The 25,139-nt window shown below is 52.0% G+C and overlaps 3 annotated features.

Annotated features, from left to right (window-relative positions):
• Positions 12,741-13,256: an enhancer, noted in NCBI's record as "H3K4me1 hESC enhancer chr19:7310423-7310940 (GRCh37/hg19 assembly coordinates)". NCBI's record gives its function as "activates a minimal SCP1, AML or CMV promoter by ChIP-STARR-seq in naive H9 embryonic stem cells {active_cell/tissue: H9 hESC(naive)}" and the evidence as "EXISTENCE:reporter gene assay evidence [ECO:0000049][PMID:30033119]".
• Positions 13,257-13,765: an enhancer, noted in NCBI's record as "H3K4me1 hESC enhancer chr19:7309904-7310422 (GRCh37/hg19 assembly coordinates)". NCBI's record gives its function as "activates a minimal SCP1, AML or CMV promoter by ChIP-STARR-seq in naive H9 embryonic stem cells {active_cell/tissue: H9 hESC(naive)}" and the evidence as "EXISTENCE:reporter gene assay evidence [ECO:0000049][PMID:30033119]".
• Positions 20,843-20,972: a silencer, noted in NCBI's record as "silent region_18487". NCBI's record gives its function as "represses an Ori minimal core promoter by ATAC-STARR-seq in GM12878 lymphoblastoid cells {active_cell/tissue: GM12878}" and the evidence as "EXISTENCE:reporter gene assay evidence [ECO:0000049][PMID:35858748]".

The raw sequence follows: 25,139 nt of genomic DNA on the forward strand, positions 1-25,139 counted from the left end.
CGGCTGTAATCCCAAAACTCTGGGAGGCTGAGGCAGAAGTTTGAGACCAGCCTGGGCAATGTAGCAGGACCCTGTCTCTACAAAAAAACTTTTTTAATTAGCTGGGCCTAGTGGCACGTGCCTGTAGTACCAACTACTCAAGAGGCTGAGGTGGGCGGATCACTTGAGCCTGGGAGGTCGAGGCTGCAGTGAGCTATGATGGTGCCACTGCACTCCAGCCTGGGTGACAGAGTGAGACCCTATCACAAATGATTGAGAGAGAGAGAGAGAGTGAAAGGGTGAAAGAGTGAAAGGGTGCAGGGCCCAGCTGGGAACAATAGGTCACACGGAGCCCTTTCTCTGGACTCTTGGTGGGGAAGTTCCTCCAAGGAAGAAGTTCCTCCAAACAGAGGCTAAGCAGAGAGGAACGGCTGCTGCCCCAGCTTCTCAGTCTGGTTGTCCTGACAGGGGCAGCAGGAAGGGTGCACGGACACCCACCTGAGTGAGGAGCTTGCTAGGCAGGGGGCCCCCTTGTCCCAGTGCTTCCACCAGTGCACCCAACCTGAGCCCCACCCAGGTCCTGCTCACCTGCTGAATGGCCTTCCAACACTGAAGACCTCAGTCAGCTGCTTCCTAGCAAGGAAACACCTGCAGCCTCCTTGCAACAAGTACTATATATTGGAAGGGCACCCTGAGATTCCAGGTGAAGGAAATCGGTCACCCAGAGGTGTTGTGTGTTCCCTGCAGGAGATAATGCAGCTTCAAACCAGGTCCCCCAGCCTCCGTGAGGAAAGTGCCCTGCACTGTCATCCTGACCACAGTTCCTGGAAACCCACGAGGAAATTGGCACATTCTGCAGATCTGATCTGCTGGCTTCATCTCTGTGAGGCACCTCATCAGTGACAACACCCAGATCCAGGCTAGAACCCTGTAACATTCCACTAGTGAATCTGTGCTGGCTGCCCCTTCGTGTTTGCTAACAAGCTTTCTGAGGTATCAGGGAGGGACACCAAGCTCTCCCCGCTGTGTGACCTGAGTGTCGTGTCTCTCTTTAGCTCCCATGTGTGGAGGGAAGAAAGGGAAAGGTGCCAGCTGATATCAAAATGGACAGAGTAAAACCATGACAAATACAAGACAAACTACCCAAAGTCCTTTGGAACCATTCTGGCCTTGGGAGGTGTCTGAATCCACAAGAAAGACTCAGTGAGAGTTAAAAAGAAGCATTCTGCTCAAGACTGGAGAGCAGCTGGGATGAGGCTAAGTAGTAATGGACAACAGCTACAAATTCATGAGAATGGGAACTGCCATGGATTGGACAGCAGGGCCCTCGTGTGTGTGTGTGTGTGTGTGTGTGTGTGTGTATGTGTGTGTGTGTTTAAGAGATGGAGTCTCATTCTGTCACCCAGGCTGGAGTGCAATGATGTGATCACAGCTCACTGCAGCCTCAATCTCCTGGGTTTAAGTGATCCTTCCACCTCAGCCTCCTGAGTGCCTGGGACTATAGGCATGCACCACCATGCCCGGCTTATTTTTAAAACTTTTTTGTAGAGATGGGGTCTCAAATTCCTAGCCTCAAGCAATCCTCCTGCCTCAGCTTCCCAAACTGCTGAGATCACAGGTGTAAGCCACCATGCCCAGACCACACACACTTTTTATTCATGAGAAAAGTGAGGCTCAGATAAATTAAGTATCTTCTTCAAGTGGTGTGGTAGGGATTTGAACCTGCATCTCTTCAAATTTCAAGAGGCATCTTTTCTCCTTTGAGACAGCCAAACCCCTCAGGATGTGCGTGTTTTCCATAGGTGGAGGGAGCACCTTGAGTGCCAGCAGGAGGCAGTGTGGAGCAGAGGAAAGGCCAAGGCTTTGGACTCAGACCCACCTAGGATTGCATCTCAATGCTGTGCTATCTTGAACAAGTTACTAAGATTCTCTGAATCCTGTTGTTGTTGTTGTTGTTGTTTTCCTTATTGGTGCTGCAATAAGTTATCACAAACTTAGCAGCTGAAAACAACACAAATGTATTATCTTATCATTCTGGCAGTCAGAAGTATGAGATGGGTTTCACAGAGCTGAACTCAAGGTGTCGGCAGGACTATGTGGATTTCTGGAAGCTTGAGGAGATAATCTGTTTTCTTAATTTTCCTTTTTCTTTTATTTTTTTATTTTGTATTTCTTTATTTTTTTTTTGAGACAGCATCTTGCTCTGTTGCCCAGGCTGGAGTGCAGTGGGGCAATCTCAGCTCACTGTAACTCCACTTCCTGGGTTCAAGCAATTCTCCTGCCTCAGTCTTCCAAGTAGCTGGGATTACAGGTGTGCGCCACCATGCCCGGCTAATTTTTTTGTATTTTTAGTAGAAACAGAGTTTCACTATGTTGGCCAGGCTGGTCTCGAACTCCTGACCTCAGGTGATCCACCCGCCTCAGCCTCCCAAAGTGCTGAGATTACAGGAGTGAGCCACCATGCCATGCCCGGCCTTAATTTTCCATCTTATAAGACTACCCACATTCCTTGGCCTGTGGTCCCCTTCCATCTTCCAAGCCAGTGTATTAGTCCCTTCTCGTGCTGCTATGAAGAAATACCCGGGACTGGGTAATCTATAAAGAAAAGAGGTTTAATTGACTCACAGTTCCGCATGGCGGGGGAGGCCTCAGAAAGCTCACAATCATGGTGGAAGGCAACTCTTCACAGGGCGGCAGGAGACAGAATGAGTGTCAGCAGAGGAAATGCCAGATGCTTATAAAACCATCAGATCTCGTGAGACTCACTCACTATCACGAGAACAGCATGGGGGAAACTGCCCCCATGATTCAATTACCTCCCACCAGGTCCCTCCCACAACAGGAGGGGATTATGGGATTACAATTAAAAATGAGATTTGGGGCCAGGCGCAGTGGCTCACAGCTGTAATCCCAGCATTTTGGGAGGCCAAGGAAGGCAGATCACCTGAGGTCAGGAGTTCAATATCAGCCTGGCCAACATGGTGAAACCCCATCTCTACTAAAAATACAAAAATTAGCCAAGCATGGTGGAATGTGCCAGTAGCCCCAGCTACTCGGGAGGCTGAGGCAGGAGAATCACTTGAACCTGGGAGGCGGAGGTTGCAGTGAGCCGAGATCACGCCACTGCACTCCAGCCTGGGCAACAGAGCAAGACTCCGTGTCAAAAAAAAAAAAGAAAAAGAGAAAGAGAGATTTGGATGGGGACCCAAAGCCAGACCGTATCAGCCAGCAAGGTAGCATCTTCAGATCTTCTAATGCTGACCTCCTCTTCTGCCTCCTGCTTTAAAGAACCTGATCACGGCTGAGCGCAGTGGCTCATGCCTGTAACCCCAGCACTTTGGGAGGCCGAGGCGGGTGGATCACCTGAGGTCAGGAGTTCCATACCAGCCTGGGCAACATGGTGAAACCCCATCTCTACTAAAAATACAAAATTAGCCAAGCGTGGTGGCTCATGCCTGTAATCCCAGCTACTCGGAGGCTGAGGCATGAGAATTGCTTGAACCTGAGAGGCGGAGGTTGCAGTGAGCTGAGATTGCGTCATTGCACTCCAGCCTGGGCAACGAGTGAAGCTCTGCCTAAAAAAAAAAATTAAAAAAAAAAATTAAAACCAGTTTTAAAAGCGATTATCTCACCAAGGTTATCAAAATCTTTAAAGGAGCCGGGGCCAGATGCTCCCTGCCACCCGCAAACCCACCCCTGGTCTGCTGTAGGCAAGCTGGGTCACAGCAGGCTTGGCAATAAGGGGGTCCCCAGGGGAAGTGCTCCCTCCAACTGGAGGCTCCTGCCCGGGCTGTGGGGATGCCCTCCTGGGAGGTGAACTGGCTGGAGTTGTGTGCCAAGACTTAATTAACCCTGGAGCAACCAGATATCCAAGGACAACTCTGGAGCCGCTGAGAGTGACCCAACCTAGATCTGGCACTTCCCCCAAACAGCCCCAGGTGCAACAGACTAGGGGGGCCACCTCCCAGTCAGCCACAGCCAGCTGGCTCCAGGCCTCTGGAAGTGCTAGTGCTTGGGGTCCACTGAGCTTTCTGACTCCTCCTCAGATATTTTAAAAATCCTAGCCTAAATGAATTTGCTACTTGCAGTCTTGTGCCTTTAAGTGAAATTCAAGCCACTGATTTCCAGAGTCTAAGTCACCAGCTGGTTTTACAAATAGACATGCAAGGTCCTAGAATCTTCCAGCTGTTTGCCTTAAAAGACAGGACACCAGATTTCTTTTATGAGGCAACCCTTGAGCCCCTACAGGCCTAGCTTTGGAAGGAAGGAAAGATTTAGGCTGCTTAAGTCTTATTGCAGCCACTCATGGCTACCATAGACAGTTGTGCAGCCTGCGCACTACACAAATGCCTCTGGGATGTCAGGGGGAGCGAACATGGGAATTAAGATCCAGCCACACTGCACTCACCAATGGCATATATGATCTCAGACTGGCCCCTCCCAGAGGGAGGTGCGCACACAGCGCAGGCTCAAACTCTGCTTCTCACACTAGCTGTCCATCATGCACAAAACGTGGCCTACCCGCACAAAATCAGGATGCTGCTCAAATCAAATGTGACACAGCTCAGAAGCTCACAAAACTCAAACTGGTCTATTCCCCCGTGTGTTTGAGGATCACAAGCTTAGATGTCAAGGCAATGTCGAATTTCCATCTGGGTGCCTGGACGTTACTCTCAATTTCTGTGTTCATTGTGTCTCAACCAGTAACTGTTTGCCCAGTGCTGGGCCTAGAGGCAGCCCTGCTCTCACCCATTGTGGGTTTCCTGAGTATACTCTGGGGCCTCCTAACCTCACTCTTTGGTAGATAGTCAGAAATCAAAGCCAGGGGTAAGTTCTGAGTCCAGAAGAAGAGGCAGTGAGGACCTCCTTCCACAGGCCCCATTTTTCTTCCTTTCTTTTCTTCCTTCCTTCCTTCCTTCCCTCTCTTCCTTCCTTCCTTCTTTCCCTTCTTCCTTCCTTCCCTTCTTCCTTCCTTCCTTCTTTCCTTTCTCTCTCTCTTTCTTTTCTTTCTTTCTCTCTCTCTCTTTCTTTCTTTCTTACAGAGTCTCACTCTGTTGCCCAGGCTGGAGTGCAGTGGCGTGATCTCAGCTTACTGCAACCTCACCTCCTGGGTTCAAGCAATTCTCGTGCCTCAGCCTCCCAAATAGCTGGGACTACAGGTGTGCGCCACCACACCTGACTAATTTTTGTATTTTTCGTAAAGATGGGGTTTCACCATGTTGGCCAGGCTGGTCTTGAACTCCTGGCCTCAAGTGATCCACCCACCTTGGCCTCCCAAAGTGCTGGGATTATAGCCATGAGCCACTGTGCCTGGCCCAGGCCTGGCTTTCTGTTACGCCTGGACGTGCTCTCAGCAGCTTACTAGCTGGTATGGAGAGGACGTTTCAGAGGAAACACAGACTGTCTCGGCTCTGAAAAGCTGCCTAGATTCTGTCCTGTTTGTGAGAAGGCTGGCACTGAAACCTCCACATCACCCTGAAGTCCTGGTCTAGACCCAGGAGGCATCAGCAGTGTGAGGTGCTAGGCTAGTTATCTGTTGTTTCCTAACAAGCCACTCAAAGCACTGTGGCTTTACAAATTTTATGATTCTCGTCCTCATGGTTTCATAGAGCTTACTGGTTTCAGCTGGGTGGTTGGTTCTGGCCTGGGGTCACTTGTGGAGTTACAGTCAGATGGCATCAGTGGCTAGTGTCATCTGACTAGAAGTCCAGGATGGTCTCCTTACTCACATGTCTGGTGGCTCAGCTAGAAGACCCAGGGCCTGGCCAGATCACTCTCTCTCCCTGACAGACTTCTCCATGAGGCTCCTTGGGCTTCCTTCCAACATGGCCACCTCAGAGGAGTCAGACTTGTTACACAGTGGCTGGCTTCCCCTAGAACAGGTGTTACCAGAGAGCCAGGTGGAAGCTGCAAGGCTACTTCTGACTTAGCAGGGCACACAGTCCTGCCCACTGGAGGTATACCCAGGGCCAGCCCCTATGTATTCAAGGGGAGGGGATTATATAAGGGCATGACAACCAAGAGGCAGACTGGGCGCGGTGGCTCACGCCTGTAATCCCAGCACTTTGGGAGGCAGAGGCGGGTGGATCACAAGGTCAGGAGATCGAGACCATCCTGGCTAACACGGTGAAACCCCGTCTCTACTAAAAATACAAAAAATTAGCCGGGTGTGGTGGCGGGGGCCTGTAGTCTCAGCTACTCGGGAGGCTGAGGCAGGAGAATGGCGTGAACCCGAGAGGTGGAGCTTGCAGTGAGCCGAGATCGCGCCACTGCACTCCAGCCTGGGCGACAGAGCCAGACTCCGTCTCAAAAAAAAAGAAAACTAAGAGGCATGGTTTATTGGGGCCCTCTCTGGTTACTATCCATGACAAGGGTGGGCAGGTCCAGGGTGGGACAACAGAGAACAGGTGGCCTGACTCTTCCCTCCAGCTAGGACTGAGCTGGGCTTTTCCACAAGCACCATCATCCATTTATTTCACAATTGTTCTGTCACCTGCCACAGAGATGACTCAGCCCCTGTGCTCACCAACTATCTTTCCTATAGGAAATGATCCTTCCAGGTGGAGAAACAGTGCAAGATATTCCCGTCCTCAGTATTCAATCCAAATCACTGATTCAATATCTGCATATTTGATAACAGGCCTGTAATCCAAATGCTTTGGGAGGCTGAGGCAGGAGGATCTCTTGAGGCCAGGGGTTCCAGACCAGCCTGGGCAACATGGCAAGAACCCATCTCTATAAAAAAGATTGGCGTGTTAGTGCACACCAATAGCCCCAGCTACTCAGGAGGCTGAGGTGGGAGGATCATTTGACTCCAGGAGGTCGAGGCTGCAGGGAGCTATGATCACACCACTGCACTCCAGCCTGGGCAACAAAGACCCTATTGCAAATATATTTATATCATATTTATATTTATATTATATATTTATTTGTATTATATAATTATATTATAAATATGTCATAAAATATAATATAAATATGAATTTATCTTTATAAACATATATAATATATATATATACACATATACAGTATTGACTATAGCCCACTCTGTTTTTCAGCTAGTTCAGAAAGATCCACAATTTTTTTCCTCAAGCCACAGCCTCCAAATGATTGAACTCTTTCGTGGATTTCCAGCCAGACCAAGGACATGCACAGCTCTCTATCCATCCACCCAGGAACTCTAAACAAGCTCCTCCCCTCCCAAGTCTTGGTTTTCTTCTGGAAGAAAGGGGGTTTATGGAGACAGAGAGGTTGACCAGATGGCTGGACTCCAAGAGCCACCATTATGATCAAGGAGCTCCAGCTACCTTCATACTCTTGGGCAGGTTCCTCCCTTATCAGAGTCTTAATCTCCTACCTGGATCACAGAAAGTCAGACAAGATGACTCTATGGGCCCTCCCAGCACCACCATGCTTCAGACTCTCATCCGACCCCCTTCTGCACATCCAGGAATATAACCATTGCCTTGGGATTGGGATTTCAGCCCAGATGTTCAGTGTAGCCTGTTCTCCCCCAGATTCCACTCCTCTGAAGTTCAAACAATTGCAAACAGGCAGACACTGCAATGGAAGCTGATCTGAATCCATTCTCTGGCTGGGTGCAGTAGTTCACACTGGTAAACCCAGCACTTTGGGAGGCCAAGGCAGGAGGATCACTTGAGCCTAGGAATTTAAGACCAGTCTGGGCAGCATGGCAAAACCGCATCTCTACAAAAAATAAAAATAAAAATTAGCTGGGCGTGGTGGTGCACGTCTGTAGTCCCAGCTATTTAGGAGGCTGAGGCAGGAGGATCACTTGAGCCCAGCAGGTCAAGGATGCAGTGAGCTGCGATCACACCACTGTGCTCCAGCCTGAGCAACAGAGTGAGACACTGTCTCAAATAAAATAAAATGAAATATTAATAAAATAAAAATAAATCCAGCCGGACGTGGTGGCTCACGCCTGTAATCCCAGCACTTTGGGAGGACAATGTGGGTGGATCGCAAGGCCAGGAGTTCGAGACCAGCCTGGCCAACAAGGCAAAACCCCGTCTCTACTACAAATACAAAAATTTGCTGGGCATGGTGGTGCATGCCTATAATCCCAGATACTTGGGAGGCTGAGGCAGGAGAATCACTTGAACCCGGGAGGCGGAAGTTACAGCGAGCCAAGATCATGTCATTGCACTCCAGCCTGGGCAACAAGAGCAAAACTCCATCTCAAAAAAATAAAAAAAATAATTTAAATCCATTTTCTGGCCCCTAGCTACCACTGAGTGATGGGGCCAGGGTGGGCAGCAGCTTAGTGTAGCAGAAAAGATTGAGATGAGGGGTCTGCCCGGCTGGGTGACAATCCAGGCTCTCCTACTTGGTGACGGCATGACCTTGAGGCATTTCTTAACCTCTCTGAACCTCAGTTTCCCCATTTGCAAAATGAGGGTTATAATGCCCACCTCACAGGATAGTTCCTATCTGAGAAGGCCGGAGGAGTGCATGTTATTATTCAAACTGCATGCTGGAAAGTGACATCTGTTTCAAAGGCAGCGGCGCTGATTCTTGTCACCGGCTCAGAGCCCTCCCTGATATAATTTAGGAGTTCTGGGTTTGGGAGTGATCCCCGGGCAGAGCTGCCATCTCCCTCCACCCCTGACATCCGCAGGATGAATAAACCCTGCAGCCCGCCTGGAAGGGCTCTTGATGCAGTGGCCTCAGAAGATGCCCTGGGCTGTCGTACTCTCCAACAGGCCGTGCTAAAAAATGACTCCAAGGAAAAGTAAGCAGACACTCCAGGCCATAAATATTTCAGAGCGGAATGAACGTCCTTTCCCCAGCACCGACTTGCCATATATATTATTTATAAAACCATAACTTGAGTTGAAAGGTAGTCGTCGAAAGAATAGACAGTCTCACTCAGATTCACCCGGCGATTGGGAAAACCATCTAGAGGGAGAGAAAATAATGTCTGGGCTAGGTGAGGTCATAGGAAGTCACCTGGCCCCATCCCCTGGCCCCAGCCTCGCCTGGAGGGACAGCCCAGAGAGGCCCCAGACCCAGCAAACTGCCAGGTTTGCACAACCCAGGGCCTCCCTGGTTTCTTAGGAAATCTCCATCAAATGCCAAACAACAGTCACAACCAGACGGTTAAAAAAAAATCTGTTATCCCCCCTTTATAACAGGGGTAGGGCTTGTCATGAGAGAGCGAGTTGAGAAGGGCTTCCCAGAGGCTATTGGGTGAGCAGACTCACTCCCCAGCTAATTTTTGTATTTTTAGTAGAGACAGGGTTTCACTGTGTTGACCATGCTGGTCTCGAACTCCTGGCCTCAGGTGAGCTGCTCACCTCGGTCTCCCAAACTGCTGGGATTACAGGCGTGAGCCACCGTGCTCAGCCCTATATTGATTTTGTAATATGTATGTAGATATGAGGTAGGAGGTGGGGCTTGACTTAGGACCAGATTGAGGACTGGCTGAAACAGGGAAGCAGCAGCAAAGCCCCTCTCCATAAGACACGCCCACCAGCACCATGTCAGTTTCCCTTTGCTACAACATCCGGAAGTTACCACCCCCTTTCTATAAATTTCTGAATACTCCACCTCTTCATTTGCATGTAATTAAAACAGAGTATAAACATGTACAAGAAGACAGCTTCCACTCCCTTTGATTTTATCCCTGACCAATCAGCACTCCTGGCTCACTGGCTTCCCCTCACCCACCAAGTTGTCCTTAAAAACTCTGCTCCCCAAATGCTCAGGGAGACTAATTTGAGTAATAATAAAACTCCGGTCTCCGGCACAGCCGGCTCTGCGTGAATTACTCTTTCTCTATTGCAATTACCTGTCTTGATGAATCGGCTCTATCTAGAGAGGGCAAGGTGAACCCCTTGGGCGGTTTCAGCCCCACCCTGCCATGGTGTGCGTGCGCATGTGTGCAGATGTATCTTCCTCCCCCATCCAATCCTCAGGCCGGGCTTGTGCCCCTGAAAGCCCGCAGTTCTGCAGGAGGAGGTCCCTGTGTTCCCTCCCAGATCCTCCCAGGTTATGCCAGGAACCCAGGGAGGACTCACAGATGCCCTGGAAACTCCAGCTTGGCTGCAGTGGGCCCCTGAGGCTCTCCCTCTCCTGTTGTAAGGCACTGCAGCCCCCTGAGCTACTAGGACCCTCAAGGGTTGGCCACACTGCCCACCTCATGGAGGACGCCACCACAGCAGACACAGGTGAAGTCCGCTCCAAAGTATGGGTGTCCAATGTCAACAGCATCACAATCTTCTACGAGGCACCATCTCATCATCACCAAAGCTGCCAGCCCCGTGATGTGGAAGCACAAGAGGAAATGGTCTCAGCCGGGGACGGTGACTCATGCCTGTCATCCTAGCACTTTGGGAGACCAAGACAGGAGGATTGCTTGAGCCCAGGAGTTCAAGACCAGCCTGGGCACCACAGCAAGACCTCCCCGCTCCAACCATCTCTACAAAATATAGAAACATGAGTCAGGCATGGCGGAGTGCACCTGTAGTCCAAGCTGCTGGGGAGGCTGAGATGGGAGGCTCGCTTGAGCCCGTGAGTTTGAGACCAGCCTGGACAACACAGCAAGACCTCCGTCTCCAGCCATCTCTACAAAATATAGAAAAATGAACCAGGCGTGGCAGAGCACGCCTGTAGTCCCAGCTACTGGGGAGGCTGAGATGGGAGGATCACTTGAGCTCAGGAGTTTGAGACCAGCCTGGGCAACATAGCAAGACCCCTTCTCCACAAAAACAATTTTAATAATTAGCCGGGTGTGGTGGTAAGTGCCTGTGGTCCTAGCTACTTGGGAGGCTAAGGTGGGAGGATTGCTTGAGGCCAGGAGTTTGAGGCTGCAGTGAGCTGAGTTTGTACCACTGCACTTCAGCTTGGGCGACAGAGTGGGACCCTGTCTCCAAGAAAAGAGAGAGAGAAAAAGAAACAAAATAGAAATCACTGGTAACTCCATGACCCAGAGGTACTCCAATTACCATTGGCGTCCATGTGTGTGGATGGACGGTTACATATGCATAAATATCTATACACATACATATGTATATATCCCTGTAGGACAGTATGAATGAACTTTAATTTATTTAAACTATTCCCTACTATTGTTCCCACCTAAGGCGTGGGAATCCCAGGTCCCAGCTGGAGAGAGACTGTCCCAAGGCAATACCGTGGCAGCACTGAGGTCAGTGAATCACCAGCAGAAATGAAAGCCGCTGGGCGCTGGGCCGAAGGGCTCAGGAGACTCAGAAGACACTTCTGGGATCAAGGCCCAGCCCAGCTGTCTGGGGGCTGTGTGGTATCTGGGGACAAACCAAGGAAGGACAGGGCGCTGGTGGGGTCTTCCTGGCACTGTCGTGTTCAAAATGAACACAGCACCACCTGCCCCGGCCCCCATCCCACAGACCCCCTGCTCAGACTCATGACTCCAGTGGGGTGGCCCATACCACCCTACATGCAGGCTGGGGCTCTTCTCCTTCCCCACAGTGGATCCCAATCTAGCAGCCACGGTCAGCAGGACCAGGGCACGGCGGAGTGGGGCATGGAAAGGTGGGAGAAGTTGCGGGGAGGGCGCATGAGCTAGGGAAGGTCTCGAAGGCTCTCAGGGAAGGCAGAAGTTAGGCTGCTAAGGGCCTGGATGGGGCCTGATACAGAGAGAGGAGGGGACCTTCCAGGAGAGAAAAAGTGCACCAAGACCCCAACCAGAAGCAGACATCGCCTGGTCGGCGGGGAGGCCCACAAGGCCACAGTCCCTCACCACCACCCAAGGGAAGCCCCCAGGATCGGAACCACTGGCCACCCTCAGGCTCATTGGCTTGGTATGGCTCTTTATTTTATTTTATTATGATCATTTTTTAAGAGACAGGGTCTCAACCTGTCATCCAGGCTGGAGTGCAGTGGACCATGATAGCTCACTGCAGCTTCCAACTCCTGGGCTCAAGCAATCCTCCTGCCTCAGCCTCCCGAGTAACTGGGACTACAGGTGTGTGCCACCACACCTAGCTCTTTTTATTTTTCACAGAGGCAGGGGTCTTGATTGCTGCCCAGGCTGGAATGCAGTGGCGCTATCATAGCTCACTGCAGCCTCAAATTCCTGGGCTCAAACGATCCTCCCGCCTCAGCCTCCCGAGTAGCTGAGACTACGCTACAGGCATGTGCCACCACATATGGCTAATTTTTTAAATTTTCTCTAGGGATGGGGTCTCACAATGTTGCCCAGGCTGGTCTTGAACTCCCAGCCTCAACTGATCCTCCCACCTCGGCCTCCCATAGCATTGGGGTTACAGACATGAGCCCTGGCACCTAGCCAACTCTTTAAGATCAAATGCTGGCCGGGAGCAATGGCTCATGCCTGTAATCCCAACACTTTGGGAGGCCAAGGTGGGCAGATCACCTGAGGCCAGGAGTTCGAGACCAGCCTGGCCAACATGACGAAACCCCATCTCTACTAAAAATACAAAAACATTTAGCTGGGCGTGGTGGTGCACACCTATAATCCCAGCTACTCAGGAGGCTGAGGCAGGAGAATTGCTTGAACCCAGGAGGCAGAGGTTGCAGTGAGCCGAGATCATGCCATTGAACTCCGGCCTGGGCAAAGAGAGCCAAACCCCTTCTCAAAAATAAAATAAAATAAAATGCCTTTTGTACCCCCAACCATTTGAGGCGGGGAAGATACAGGGCCCTACTGAGAGGCGAAGGGAGCAGGGCCCGGGGTCACTGTGTGAACTTGGGTGAGATTCCCATGCTCAGGGGGTAAAACAGGGTTTGCGGTACCTACCTTAGGGCTAGAAGTAAGAATGAAATGCAAGAGCAAACATAAAAACCCCAGGCTGGAGGACTGAGCCCATCGGTGCCTTGGGAACCACAACAGTGGGATCATTCACACACAGACAGGCCTGGTGGAATCTTCCAGACCGGCGCCTTGTGGCGAGGAGGCAATATGTCCCACGAGGCCCACTCAGGCCCCAGGAGCCCCCCTCACTTGGGCACAGCCCAGCTACCATGCCCTCCTGGTTAGTGGGCACAAGAGTGTCGAGGGAATATGCTTTGTGGGCAGCAAAGTCCTTCTTCAAAGGGGTGTTTCCACCTGCAGGTCTGAGCAGGACATGAGGTCATGTCGGGCCCCAGGACAGCAGCCCCTGTCCTAGGCTCGGCCCTGACCCACCTTCTCTGGAAGCCGGTCCTCGAGTACCCTTAGGGCCTTTACACACTCACACGTGCAGACACACGCACATGCACACACACACGCACGCACACACACGTGGACACACATGCACACACAAACACACACATGCATACACGCACACACGGACACATGTGTGCACACACGTGCGCAGACACACGTGAACACACGCACACACTCACACACACATGCACACACAGCTGCCTCCACTCACTCAGGCCTCCACCAACCCCCTCCCCAGCTGTAGCCACCACTGCCACCCCCAAAATTAAAAAGAAATAAAAATAAAAAACTGAACGAGTTAATTTGCTAAAATGAACCAGAATGCAATAACTGATTACATTTTTCCCCAAAGGAAACTTGAGTTAATTTGGCCGGTGACTCATATGACTGGCTGCCAGTGACAACACACACCATCCCAGACACAGCTCCTCGCTGTGCCCCGTTGCCAGCCGTCCCCCTCCTGGCTTCCCTCCTGCGGGAGGCGGGGACAGAGGGGTGGAGGCAGAAGTGCCCACTGGATAAAGAGCTGTTTGAGGCCCTTCTGAAAGTGCAGGATACACACGCATGCACACAGACATATATCTGTACAGAAGTGCGTGTCTGTGCACTCACACCAGGCACGCACATGCACACACACATACACACACGCCTGCACCACAGCTGAACTCTGGCATGGGCTACTCAGTAAATCATTCAACGATAACCTCTGCATACCAATACTGGGGGAAAATCCAATTAAAGTAACTCATTACTAAGTCATTCCTATTTTCCCAGCATCTTAAAGCTCCTGGGAAGAGAAGGGAAGGACAGGCAGATTACTAATGTGACCTCTCCTAGGCTGTGGGGAAAATTCCTGGCCCGGCTCCCAGGAGTGGAGGCCCCAGATGGATTTCTCTGTCTGCTCGGGGGTGGGGGGAACACTGGGTACAGCCCCCCTCCCCATCCCTGTGCCCTGTATACGGCCATAGCTTCTCCTGAAAACAGCACACATAGCTCAAGCTAAGTCCTAGGGTCAGCAGACCCAAGAGGCCCAGCCTTGTCATTCACATGCTGTGTGACATTGCACAAAGCACTTAACCTCTCTGAGCCTTAATCTCTTCTCTAAAATATCTTCATCTGATGGTTGTTTTTTGGGTTTGTTTTGTTTGGTTTGGTTTGAGACAAGGTGTTCCTCTGTCACTCAGGCTGGAGTGCAGTGGCACGATCATAGCTCACTGCAGCCTTGACCTCCCTGGCTCAAGCAATCCTCCCGCCTCAGCCTGCTGAGCAGCTGGGACTACAGGTAAGTACCTCCATGCCTGGCTAATTTTTTTGTATTTTTAGTAGAGATGGAGTCTCACCATGCTGCCCAGGCTGCATCATCTGAATTTTTTTTTTTTTTTCCTGAGATGGAGTTTAGCTCTTGTTGCCCAGGCTGGAGTGCAATGGTGTGATCTCCGCTCACTGTAACCTCCACCTCCTGGGTTCAAGCGATTCTCCTGCCTCGGCCTCCTGAGTAGCTGGGATTACAGGCGTGCACCACCATGCCCAGCTAATTTTTTGCATTTTTAGTAGAGATGGGGCTTCGCCATGTTGGCCAGGCTGATCTCGAACTCCTGACCTCAGGTGATCCACCTGCCTTGGCCTCCCAAAGTGCTGGCATTACAGGCATCAGCCACCGCATCCAGTCCATCTGATTTTTTTAAACTAGGGGGTGGGGGAAAAGGAAAGGCACACACTTTTCCTCTTTCCCCCTTGCCACTGGGTGGGTTACAGAAGCGATGGCGGGAGCTGAAGCAGCCATATTGGACCCAAAGATAGAAGTCACCTACTGAGCAAGACAAGAAAACCCAGCAAGATACAAGGAAAACGGAAAATGGTTCCTTGAGATTGTGGAGCTGCCGTGGAAGCCCTGGATTGTTTGTCATCAGACTATTATATGCAAGAGAAACAAACTTCTATGTTGTCTTTAAAATATGTTACGTATATTTATATATCACCATCATCCCTATGCTCACACATGGTGAAATCTAAAACCATTCAGAGGCCAGGCGCGGTGGCTCACACCTGCAATCCCAGGACTTTGGGAGGCCGAGGCAGACAGATCACTTGAGGTCAGGAGCTCAAGATCAGCCTGGCCAACATGGTGAAACCACGCCTCTACTAAAAATACAAAAATTAGCCAGGTGTGGTGGTGCACACCTGTAATCCCAGCTACTCGAGAGGCTGAGGCAGGAGAATCACTTGAACCTGGGAGGTGGAGGTTGCAGAGAGCCAAGATAGTGTCACTGCACTCCAGCCTGGGCGACAGAGTGAGACTCCGTCTCAAAAAATAAAATAAAATACAAAACCATTCAGAGGAGGTCACTCGATAAAGACAAGAGATGTCCCCAGACTCCTCATCCAGGAATCCAGCGAAAGGGCACTATCCAGGGCTCCACGTTTTGGCCCAACTCGCCCAGCAATTTCTGTGCATCCTCAGGTACATCATTTTCCTCCCCATGCCTCAGTTTCCCTACCTGTCTTTTGACACTAATATCAGTCTCAATTTTTAAATGCTGACCAATGAAGGACTCAAGCCAAGGATGGGCAGGAAATCACTTTGTAAAGAACTGGGATTGGGCAAGGTGGCTCATTCTTGCAGCACTTTGGGAGGCTGAGGTGGGAGGATCACTTGAGGCTAGGAGTCTGAGACCAGCCTGGAGAACACAGAAAGACCCTTGTCTCAAAAAAAAAAAAATTAAATTAGCTAAGCATGGTGGTGAGCATCTATAGTATAGCCCAGCTACTCTGGAGGCTGAGGCAGGAGGATCGCTTGAGCCCAGGAGTTTGAGGCTGCAGTGAGCTATGCTCAAGCCACAGCACTCCAGCCTGGGTGACAGAGAAAGACTCTGTCTCAAAAAAAAAAAATATTTTAAAGAGCAAGAAGGCTGGACATCCGGGCATGGTGGCTCATGCCTGTAATCCCAGCACTTTGGAAGGCCGAGGTGGGAGGATCACTTGAGCCCAAGGAGTTCAAGACCAGCCTGGGAAACATAGGTAGAACCCCATCGCTATAAAAATTAAAATTAAAAAATTAGCTAAACATGGTGGTGCGTGCCTGTGGTCCCAGCTACTTGAGAGGCTGAGGCGAGAGGATCCCTTGAGCCCAGGAATTGGAGGCTGCAGTGAGCTGTGATCACACCACTGCAGTCCAGCCTGGCAACAGAGAGAGACCCTGTCTCAAAAATAAATAAATAGGCGGGGGGATCACAAGGTCAGGAGATCGAGACCATCTTGGCTAACACAGTGAAACCCCGTCTCTACTAAAAATACAAAAAATTAGCCGGGCGTGTTGGCGGGAGCCTGTAGTCCCAGCTACTCCGGAGGCTGAGGCAGGAGAATGGCATGAACCTGGGAGGCGGAGTTGCACTGAGCCGAGATCGCGCCACTGCACTCCAGCCTGGGCGACAGAGCGAGACTCAGTCTCAAAAATAAATAAATAAATAAATAAATAAACAAACAAATAAATAAATAAATAAAGGACAGAGAAAAGCAGGAACTGGGTCTAGGTGTCTAGGTGGGACCGATGACTGGCTGGAGCACAGAGGGCAGAGACACCCGCAGCCGCCAGGCTGGTTTCAAGCTCACCTGATCCTGTTGCTAAACCACCTGGCAGGAGAGGAAGCTGAGAAAGAGAGAAAGCTGGAGGAGAAGCTGGAGTCCCACCACCCAAGCCCTACCGCACAGCTGCAGGTCGTCAGAGCCTGCCAGAGCCCTGTGCCCGCCTCCCAGGCCAGACAATGGAGACAAATGCAATCCCAAGTGGGGCACAGGTCAGGGCTCCATGTGGCCCCAGGAATGATGACACCTGGGGACGGTTCTCAGAGTGGCCAGACGTCTGCCTAAACGCTGAACCCAAAATTCAAGCACAGAATAACTGTCCACCATGACCTTGAAGGCCAGCTCTCACAGCCCCGGGGAGCAACAGCCAGGCTTCTAGGCAGCGGGCGCCAGCGGTGCCCACCCTGAGGCACACCCAGGCCCCACCGTCCCCTTGGTGTGGGTCTGAGCTCGTGCCTTTCGGCAGGTGCACAGCCTTGGGGTCGGTCTAGCCTGGATTCGAATCCCACCTGTATCACTTACAAATGGAGGGACCTTGATCGAGGAGGGTTTATAACCTCCCAGAGGCTCAGCCCTGCCCCTACACCCAGGGGGCTGCTGAGAAGCCGAGAAGCTGAAGGAGTTCAGGGCATAGACAGCCGCGCATGCTGTAGGCTCACACATAGGAAGGGGACTTCCCCTCCCTCCCAACTGTGGCCATCTGCACCCTGACTGGCATGACAAAAGGGCAAAAAACATTGGTCAAATTTCTATGCAGCATCCTTCAGTGTCCCCAAGCCCTGTCATTTCAAGATAGAAATCGGGCCAATGTGCTTCCTCTTCTCCAGAAAACAGACTCCAAGCATGGTCAAAAAACCAAAGGTGACTGGGCACAGTGGCTCACGCCTGTAATCCCAGCACTTTGGGAGGCAGAGATGGCTGGATCACCTGAGACCAGGAATTTGAGACCAGCCTGGCCAGCATGGCAAAACCCCATCACTAACTAAAAATACAAAAATTAGCCGGGCATGGTGGCACACACCTGTAATCCCAGCTACTCGGGAAGCTGAGACAGGAGAATCGCTTGAACCCAGGAAGCAGAGGCTGCAGTGAGCCAAGATCACACCACTGCACTCTAGCCTGGGCAACAGAGTGAGACTCCATCTCAAAAAACAAACAAACAAAAAACAAAACAAAACAAAACAACAACAAAAAAACGAACAGCGAGGGAACCTTAAGGATCCAAGATTCCCACTGAGAAACCAGGTCTCTATTTCTCCTTGTTCGGTTCTGGAGCCGCACGTTCTGGACTTCTCCAGGCCCCAGACACAGCAGAAAAAAAACACGAGAATCCTCATGCACCTGGCTTTTTCATTTAATTAATTAATTAATTAATTATTTGTTTGTTTAAGACAGAGTCCCGCTGTATGGCCCAGGCTGGAGTGTAGTGGCGCAATCTTGGCTCACTGCAACCTCCGCCTCCTAGGTTCAGGTGATTCTCCTGCCTCAGCCTCCTGAATAGCTGGGATTACAGGTGCCCGTCACCACACCCACCTAATGTTTGTATTTTAATAGAGATGGAGTCTCACCATGTTGGGCAGGCTGATCTCAAACACCTGACCTTCCATCTCAGCCTCCCAAAGTGCCAGGATTACAGGGGTGAGCCAGCACTCCCGGCCACACCTGGCTTTTTCTTATTATTTATTTATCTATTTAGAAATGGGGTTCTCACTCTGTGGCCCAGGCTGGAATGCAGTGGCGCAACCACAGCTCACTATAGCCTTGACTTCCAGGGCTCAAGTCATTCTCCTGCCTCAGCCTCCTAAGTAGCTGGGACCACAGGCACGTGCCACCACATCCGGCTGATTTTTTAAATTTTTTGTACAGCTAGGGTTTTGGTATGTTACTCACGCTGGTCTCAAACTCCTGACCTCAGGTGATCCGCCCCCCTCGGCCTCCCAAAGTGCTGGGATCACAGACATGAGCCACCGCGCCAGGCCCACATTTTGATTTTTAAAGCACCACCACATAGCTTTATGTCCTCGTTGTTTTCCACCTGAATCTCCTTATACAAGACTCAGGCTGGGCCAGGCACAGTGGCTCATGCCTGTAATCCCAGCACTTTGGGAGGCCAAGGCAGATGGATCACCTGAGGTCAGGAGTTCAAGATCAGCCTGGCCAACATGGCAAAACCCCGTCTCTACTAAAAATACAAAAATTAGCTGGGCATGGTGGCGCATGCCTGTAATTCCAGCTACTCGGGAGACTGAGGCGGGACAATTGCTTGAACCCGGGAGGCAGAGGCTGCAGTGAGCCGAGATCATGCCACTGCACTACAACCTGGGCAACAGAGTGAGACTCAGTCTCAGAAAAAAAAATAATAAAATAAATAAATAAAAAGATTCTCAGGCTGAAGTCACGAAGTAGGGTGGCCCCGAGCCCCCCTCAGCAGACACAGCCCAAGAGGGCATCTGCAAAGAGCAGGACTGTGGGTTGTGGGCAAGACGTGGAGGGGAGGTAGAGGAGAGAAGGGGACCCCCTACACCAGGAGGAATTTGCAGGCTTCACCAGGGAAATAGGACGGCACCCCCTGCCCCAGGGAGGTGGGCAGGGCATAGAGGGCATTTTCCAAATTGTACAGCCACAGGGACCACTCTGCCCAGAGCTCCACTCACACCCTCCAACCCCCTAGTCACACAGACACACATTCACACACACACACTACAGTCGTACACACACAGACATGCATTCACATATACACTCACTGACATACAGATACATACTCACAGGCACACACAGACATGCATTCACATACACACTAACGCAAAGACACACACAGACATTCACACAGAGTCACACTTACACACAGACATGTATTTACACATTCAAATGAATACACACACTAACACACAGAGACACACACAAACACGCACACACAGACATGTAGTCACACACCAGATGCACACACATACACTAACACACAGAGCTGTACTCACATAGACCACACACATACACACATAGGCATCATCACTACGCTAATGTCTCTCAGTGTCCTACGACAGGTGTGCACGGCCTTGCCTTGCACTGAGGTGCCCCTGCAGTATTGGGGGTTCCACCGTAGTACTGGGGTCCACTCACCCATAGACCGTGCATCTCCAGCTTCATGCGCAGGAATTTCCCCATGCCACAGGGCCTTTTGCTGGGGAAGATGCTGGTCTGCCCAAAGTCAGCGTGGAATCTGGGCAGAGCCAGAATGACCTGCCCCAGGCTTGGGAGCCGAGCATATAACCCCCCTACACACAGCGCCATTCAGACCCTGGCACCCCACCGTTGGGCTCCCTAAAGATGTGTCCATTCTGCTTGACTTAAACACTGTATTCCTGGTTGGTCCTTCAGTGACAGGGGAGGGAGGAAGAGGCTGTGGCTTGCAGGACAGGGGGTCAGGATATGGGCAATGGCTTGGGGACCTCCTACTTGTAAGGAACCAGGGTGGGGTCCTATTGGGTGGACAGGAGACCCTGCAGCCCTGGCCTCACTGCCTTCTGGGATCCTCTGCCACAGGTCCCACCCCGCAGCCCATCCTGGGCCTGCGACCCACAGCCTGTGCCTCCTGTCCCCTGTCCCTCCCAGTGCACCCTGAGCCCACCCTACCCAGCCCCCGCCACCCCCCTGCTGCACTCCCAGGGCTGACCTTCTTCCCTGCCCAGGCTGGACATCCCTCCTCTCTTGCCTCCCCCTTGACCTCCCTGATGGGACTAAGTGGAGGCTTCTGTTCATGGAAACTGGGGTTAAGGAAGCAAACTACAGGGCCTGGGGTCAAGGTCAGGTCCAAGGTCAGGGCTGAGTCAGCCCTGACTTCGTTCCTCCCGCCTCTTCCCCCGGGCATCCAGGCCCTTAGGTGTCAGGAGTTACAGCCTTGCCCTCGCCTCCTGCTCCTCTGGCCGAGGCCAGGGCGGCCCCTTCCTGTCCCCCCTGCCCGTCGTTCGCTCCCCGAGGGCGCAGCAGAAGCACGGGGAACTCCGGACCCCACGAGGCGCTCTGGACGAGGTCGAGCCGCCGCTTCCCCCGGGCGCCGCTAGGTGGCGCCGCGCTAACGAGGATCGGGATAGACCGGAGGGGCCGCGCTGCCACCAACCGGGTCTCCACTCCCCAGGTCCTCACTCCCCGGGCCCCAGCCTCGCCCCAAAGCTCAAACACGCACCCGGGAACCCTTCCACCACCCTCCCTCCCCACCCCTGGCATCCTTAGCCCTCGGCAGCTCCCGTGGTCCCAGGGGCCTCTCCGGTCCCTCAGCAGGAGACCTGGAGTGCACGGCCTGTCCATGCCTCTGGGACGCAGGACAAAGTGGACGAATAGGAATCAACCGTGGGGAGGGAGGGGCCACCCAGGAGAATCCCAGTCCACGGAGTAAGGGAGGGTGGCATGCTGAGTGCCAGGCAGAAGGCCTGGCCCAGGCGGTGCTCCCTAAGTGAGGGTGCACCCTCACTTACATCCTTCCAGGATAGTTCCTCTTCACATCCTTCCAGGATAGTTCCTCGCCTAGGCGTTTTCTCCCTCAGTTTGGGGGTAGTGGTTTTTAGGGCCCCGTGTGAGAGTGAGAAGGCTCAAGGGTGCCACTACCCCAAAACCAAGGGGGCAAGGGGCAGACCCCAACTGTACCAGGAGCAAGGAGCTGCTTTAATTTACTCCTCCCAACATGTCTATTAGACGTTTTACCAACGAGGAAGATGGGCTCAAAGCCCAAGGTCACATGGGGGTGGATGGCCAAGGCAGGGTTGGAACCCAGGTCTGGCAGATGCCCTTGCCATGCCCTGGGGTGCCCCAACTCTGACCACAATGAGCCCTTCCAGCTCCTTCCCAGCCCAAAACTAAACCCTGAGGCAGAGTGACTGGGCCACGCTCAGACGTCCCTGACTCTATGCCCTACCTCTGTCCCTCTGAGACTCCCACTGTCCTACAGCTGCCTTCTGGTCTTTGCAATGGCTGATCGTCCTGCCGGGAAAGGTGTTTCCCCAGCCTCACCAGGGCCCACTCTGGCATCAACTCCTACAGGAAGCCCTCCCTGATTGATCCCTAAGTGGAGGCTTCGGTTGGGTCCCAGCCTCAGGAAACTGGCATCAGAGCCTCCCATGGTCCCGGGCTCAGACACAATAGTGAACTCAGCCAGGTGAAGGAAGAGCTGAGAGCCCACCACCACCACGATGCTGGTCCATCGGCAGCCTGTAGCACGCCCCAAACACCCCATTTACAAAGAAACTTTTCAAAGGGCATTTAGGGCAGATGATAAAACTATGGCCCGGAGAGGCCAAGTGACTAGTGCAGAGTCACACAGCAAACCAGAAGAGACTAGACACCAACCAAGATCTGTCACTATATTCATAAAAGAAAAGAAGGCTGGGTGCGGTGTTTTGTGCCTGTAATCCCAGCACTTTGGAAAGTCAAGGGGGTGCAGATCGCTTGAGCCCAGGAGTTTGAGACCAGCCTGGGCAACATAGTGAGACCTCATCGCTACTAAAAATGTAAAAATTAGCCCAGCATGGGGACGTGTGCCTGTTGTCCCAGCTACTCAGGAGGCCGAGGCAGGAGAATTGCTTGAGCCCAAGAGGTGGAGGCTGCAATGAACCGTGATTGTGCCACTGCACTCCAGCCTGGGTGACAAAGCAAGGCCCTGTCTCTAAAAAGAGAAAGAAAATAAAAGGAAGACCAAAAGCAATGAATTTAAAACACACACACACACACGCATGCATGAGTGCATGCATGTACTTAAGTGGTAGGGCAAAGTGCCGCTGCGGACTGCAGCTGGGAGAGAGGGTGACTCAGTGCCAAGATGCCCTGCACAGGGCCCCACGCTTCTGAGAACAGTCCAGAAGCCGCTCCCAGCATGCAGCTAAAGCCATTCTCTCCTGTGGACACATCCCTGGGGACAGACCCCGTCTGTCATCACCTGGCTTGGGTAACCCAGAAAGCTCTGCCCTCCAGGCACCAGGACAGTGTCACCCATAATGAATGCCCCAGAGCACCTAGGGGTAAGTTGAGCTGGGTCAGGCCGGGCCAGTCCAGGCAGCCCCCAGGAACCCCAAAACCCACTGGCATCTACCTCTCAGGGTCTCAGGCTGAGAGCCATAGGTGCTGGGGGACATTCTGGAAAGTGCCCCCAAGAAGGCTTCACAGAGCAAGTCCTACACTTGGGAGTTGGATCCAGGTTCAGCCCCTGCTCTGCCCTACCTCGGTGTAGCCCTGAGTGCTTCTTTGAGTTTCATTAATACAACCATGGGCTGGGGTGGGTGGGCACAGAGTAGCATGTGCTGGAGAGAGAGAGAGAGAGAGAGACAGAAAGAAAGAGAAGGCACATGCATATCATACATACCTTCACACTACTACTTCTTTTCTTTTTTTTTTTTTTTGAGACAGGGTCTTGCTCTGTTGCCCAGGCTGGAGTGCAATGGCATCATTGAACTCCTGGCCTCAAGCAATCCTCCCACCTTGGTCTCACCACACCTGGCTCATTTTTTTTTTTTTTTTTTTTTTTTTTTTGAGACGGAGTCTCGCTCTGTCGCCCAGGCTGGAGTGCAGTGGCGGGATCTCGGCTCACTGCAAGCTCCGCCTCCCGGGTTCACGCCATTCTCCTGCCTCAGCCTCCCAAGTAGCTGGGACTACAGGCGCCCGCCACTACGCCCGGCTAATTTTTTGTATTTTTAGTAGAGACGGGGTTTCACCGTTTTAGCCGGGATGGTCTCGATCTCCTGACCTCGTGATCCGCCCGCCTCGGCCTCCCAAAGTGCTGGGATTACAGGCGTGAGCCACCGCGCCCGGCCCACCTGGCTCATTTTTAAAATTTTTTTGTAGACATGGAATCTTGTGCTATGTTGCCCAGGCTGGTCTTGAACTCCTAGTCTCAAGTGATTCTCCTGCCTCGGCCTCCCAAAGTGCTAGGATTACAGGGCATGAACCACCCCTGGCTCCTCTCTCTCTCTTTTTCTTTCTTTCTTTCTCTTCTTTGTTCCTTCCTTCTTCTTTTTTTTTTTTTTTTGAGATGGAGTCTCGCTCTGTCACCCAGGCTGGAGTGCAGTGGTGTGATCTTGGCTCACTGCAACCTCCACCTCCAGGGTTCAAGCAATTCTCCTGCCTCAGCCTCCCCAGTAGCTGGAACTACAGGCACCCGCCACCACGCCAAGCTAATTTTTTTTGTGTTTTTTGAGACGGAGTCTTGCTCTGTCGCCCAGGCTGGAGTGCAGTGGCATGTTCTCCACTCACTGCAAGCTCCACCTCCCGGGTTCACGCCATTCTCCTGCCTCAGCCTCCCAAGTAGCTGGGACTACAGGCGCCCGCCACCACGCCCGGCTAATTTTTTGTATTTTTAGTAGAGACAGGGTTTCACCATGTTAGCCAGGATGGTCTCGATCTCCTGACCTCGTGATCCGCCCTGCCTTGGCCTCCCAAAGGGCTGGGATTACAGGCATGAGCCACTGGGCCCGGCCCCTTCCTTCCTTCCTTCTTTCTCTTTTCCTTTCTCTTTCATGCTTTTTTTTTTCTTTCTTTCTTTTTTTCTTTTGAGAGCCAGTTGTAAATCATTTACCTGCAAAGGCTGAGAGAGCAGCCTCTTCCTCCTCCAGCCCAGGAAGCCAGCCAGCAGCACATCCAAGCAGCAAGCCTCCCTCCCTGGGTGTCGCTGCCGCCCACCCGGCTGCACAGGGAAAGCTTGCGACGTCTGTTCTTCCTCTTGCTTTATTTCTTCGTTTCCTTGCCTAAGCCTGGGAACCTGCACTGACCCTGCCCTCCCTACCCCCTCTTGACCTCTGCCCCATGGATGTCTGGCCCCAGAGTGTTCCTGGAGGACATCCTCTCTGATATTTTCAGAGTCACCTCTGGGCCTCCCGGGGACTATCCACACGAGGGGGTGATGGTTTCTGAGGTTGGACCCCGGGAGAACACAGCAGCAAGCCCTGAGCCTCCAGGACAATCTCCGCACCACTCAGCAAGAGCCCGTGCTGATCAATCAGTGAAACGGGAAGGCAGGGCCATCGCTAATTCAGGCAGCACCGGCATGGAGTTGGCCTAATTTGGAAGTGGCCTCTGCTAAAGCTGGCCTTCGAACCCTCCAAGGGGGGAAAAAAAAAGAAAAGAAAAGCTTTACTAAGCTATAAGCAGAAGCAGGACTGCAATCGAGCTGCTTCACCTATTTAAGGAAAGTGATCATTTTCAAATGCGTTTAATGCATGAATTCGGGTACACCAAAAACTGATATCCTGATTATGATCTGCCCTTTGTCCCCTAAAGGTGGTGACACTCTCCTTAGCACTACCAGCAGTCAGAATTGCTGCCAGCACTGAGCATTAAACTCCCCATCTTGTGTTTTGTTTTTGTTTTTGTTTGTTTTTTTTTTTTTTTTGAGATGGAGTCTCACTCTGTTGCCCAGGCTGGAATGCAA

Source organism: Homo sapiens, chromosome 7, assembly GCF_000001405.40.
Source record: "Homo sapiens chromosome 7, GRCh38.p14 Primary Assembly".
NCBI classification, from domain to species: Eukaryota; Metazoa; Chordata; class Mammalia; order Primates; family Hominidae; genus Homo; species Homo sapiens.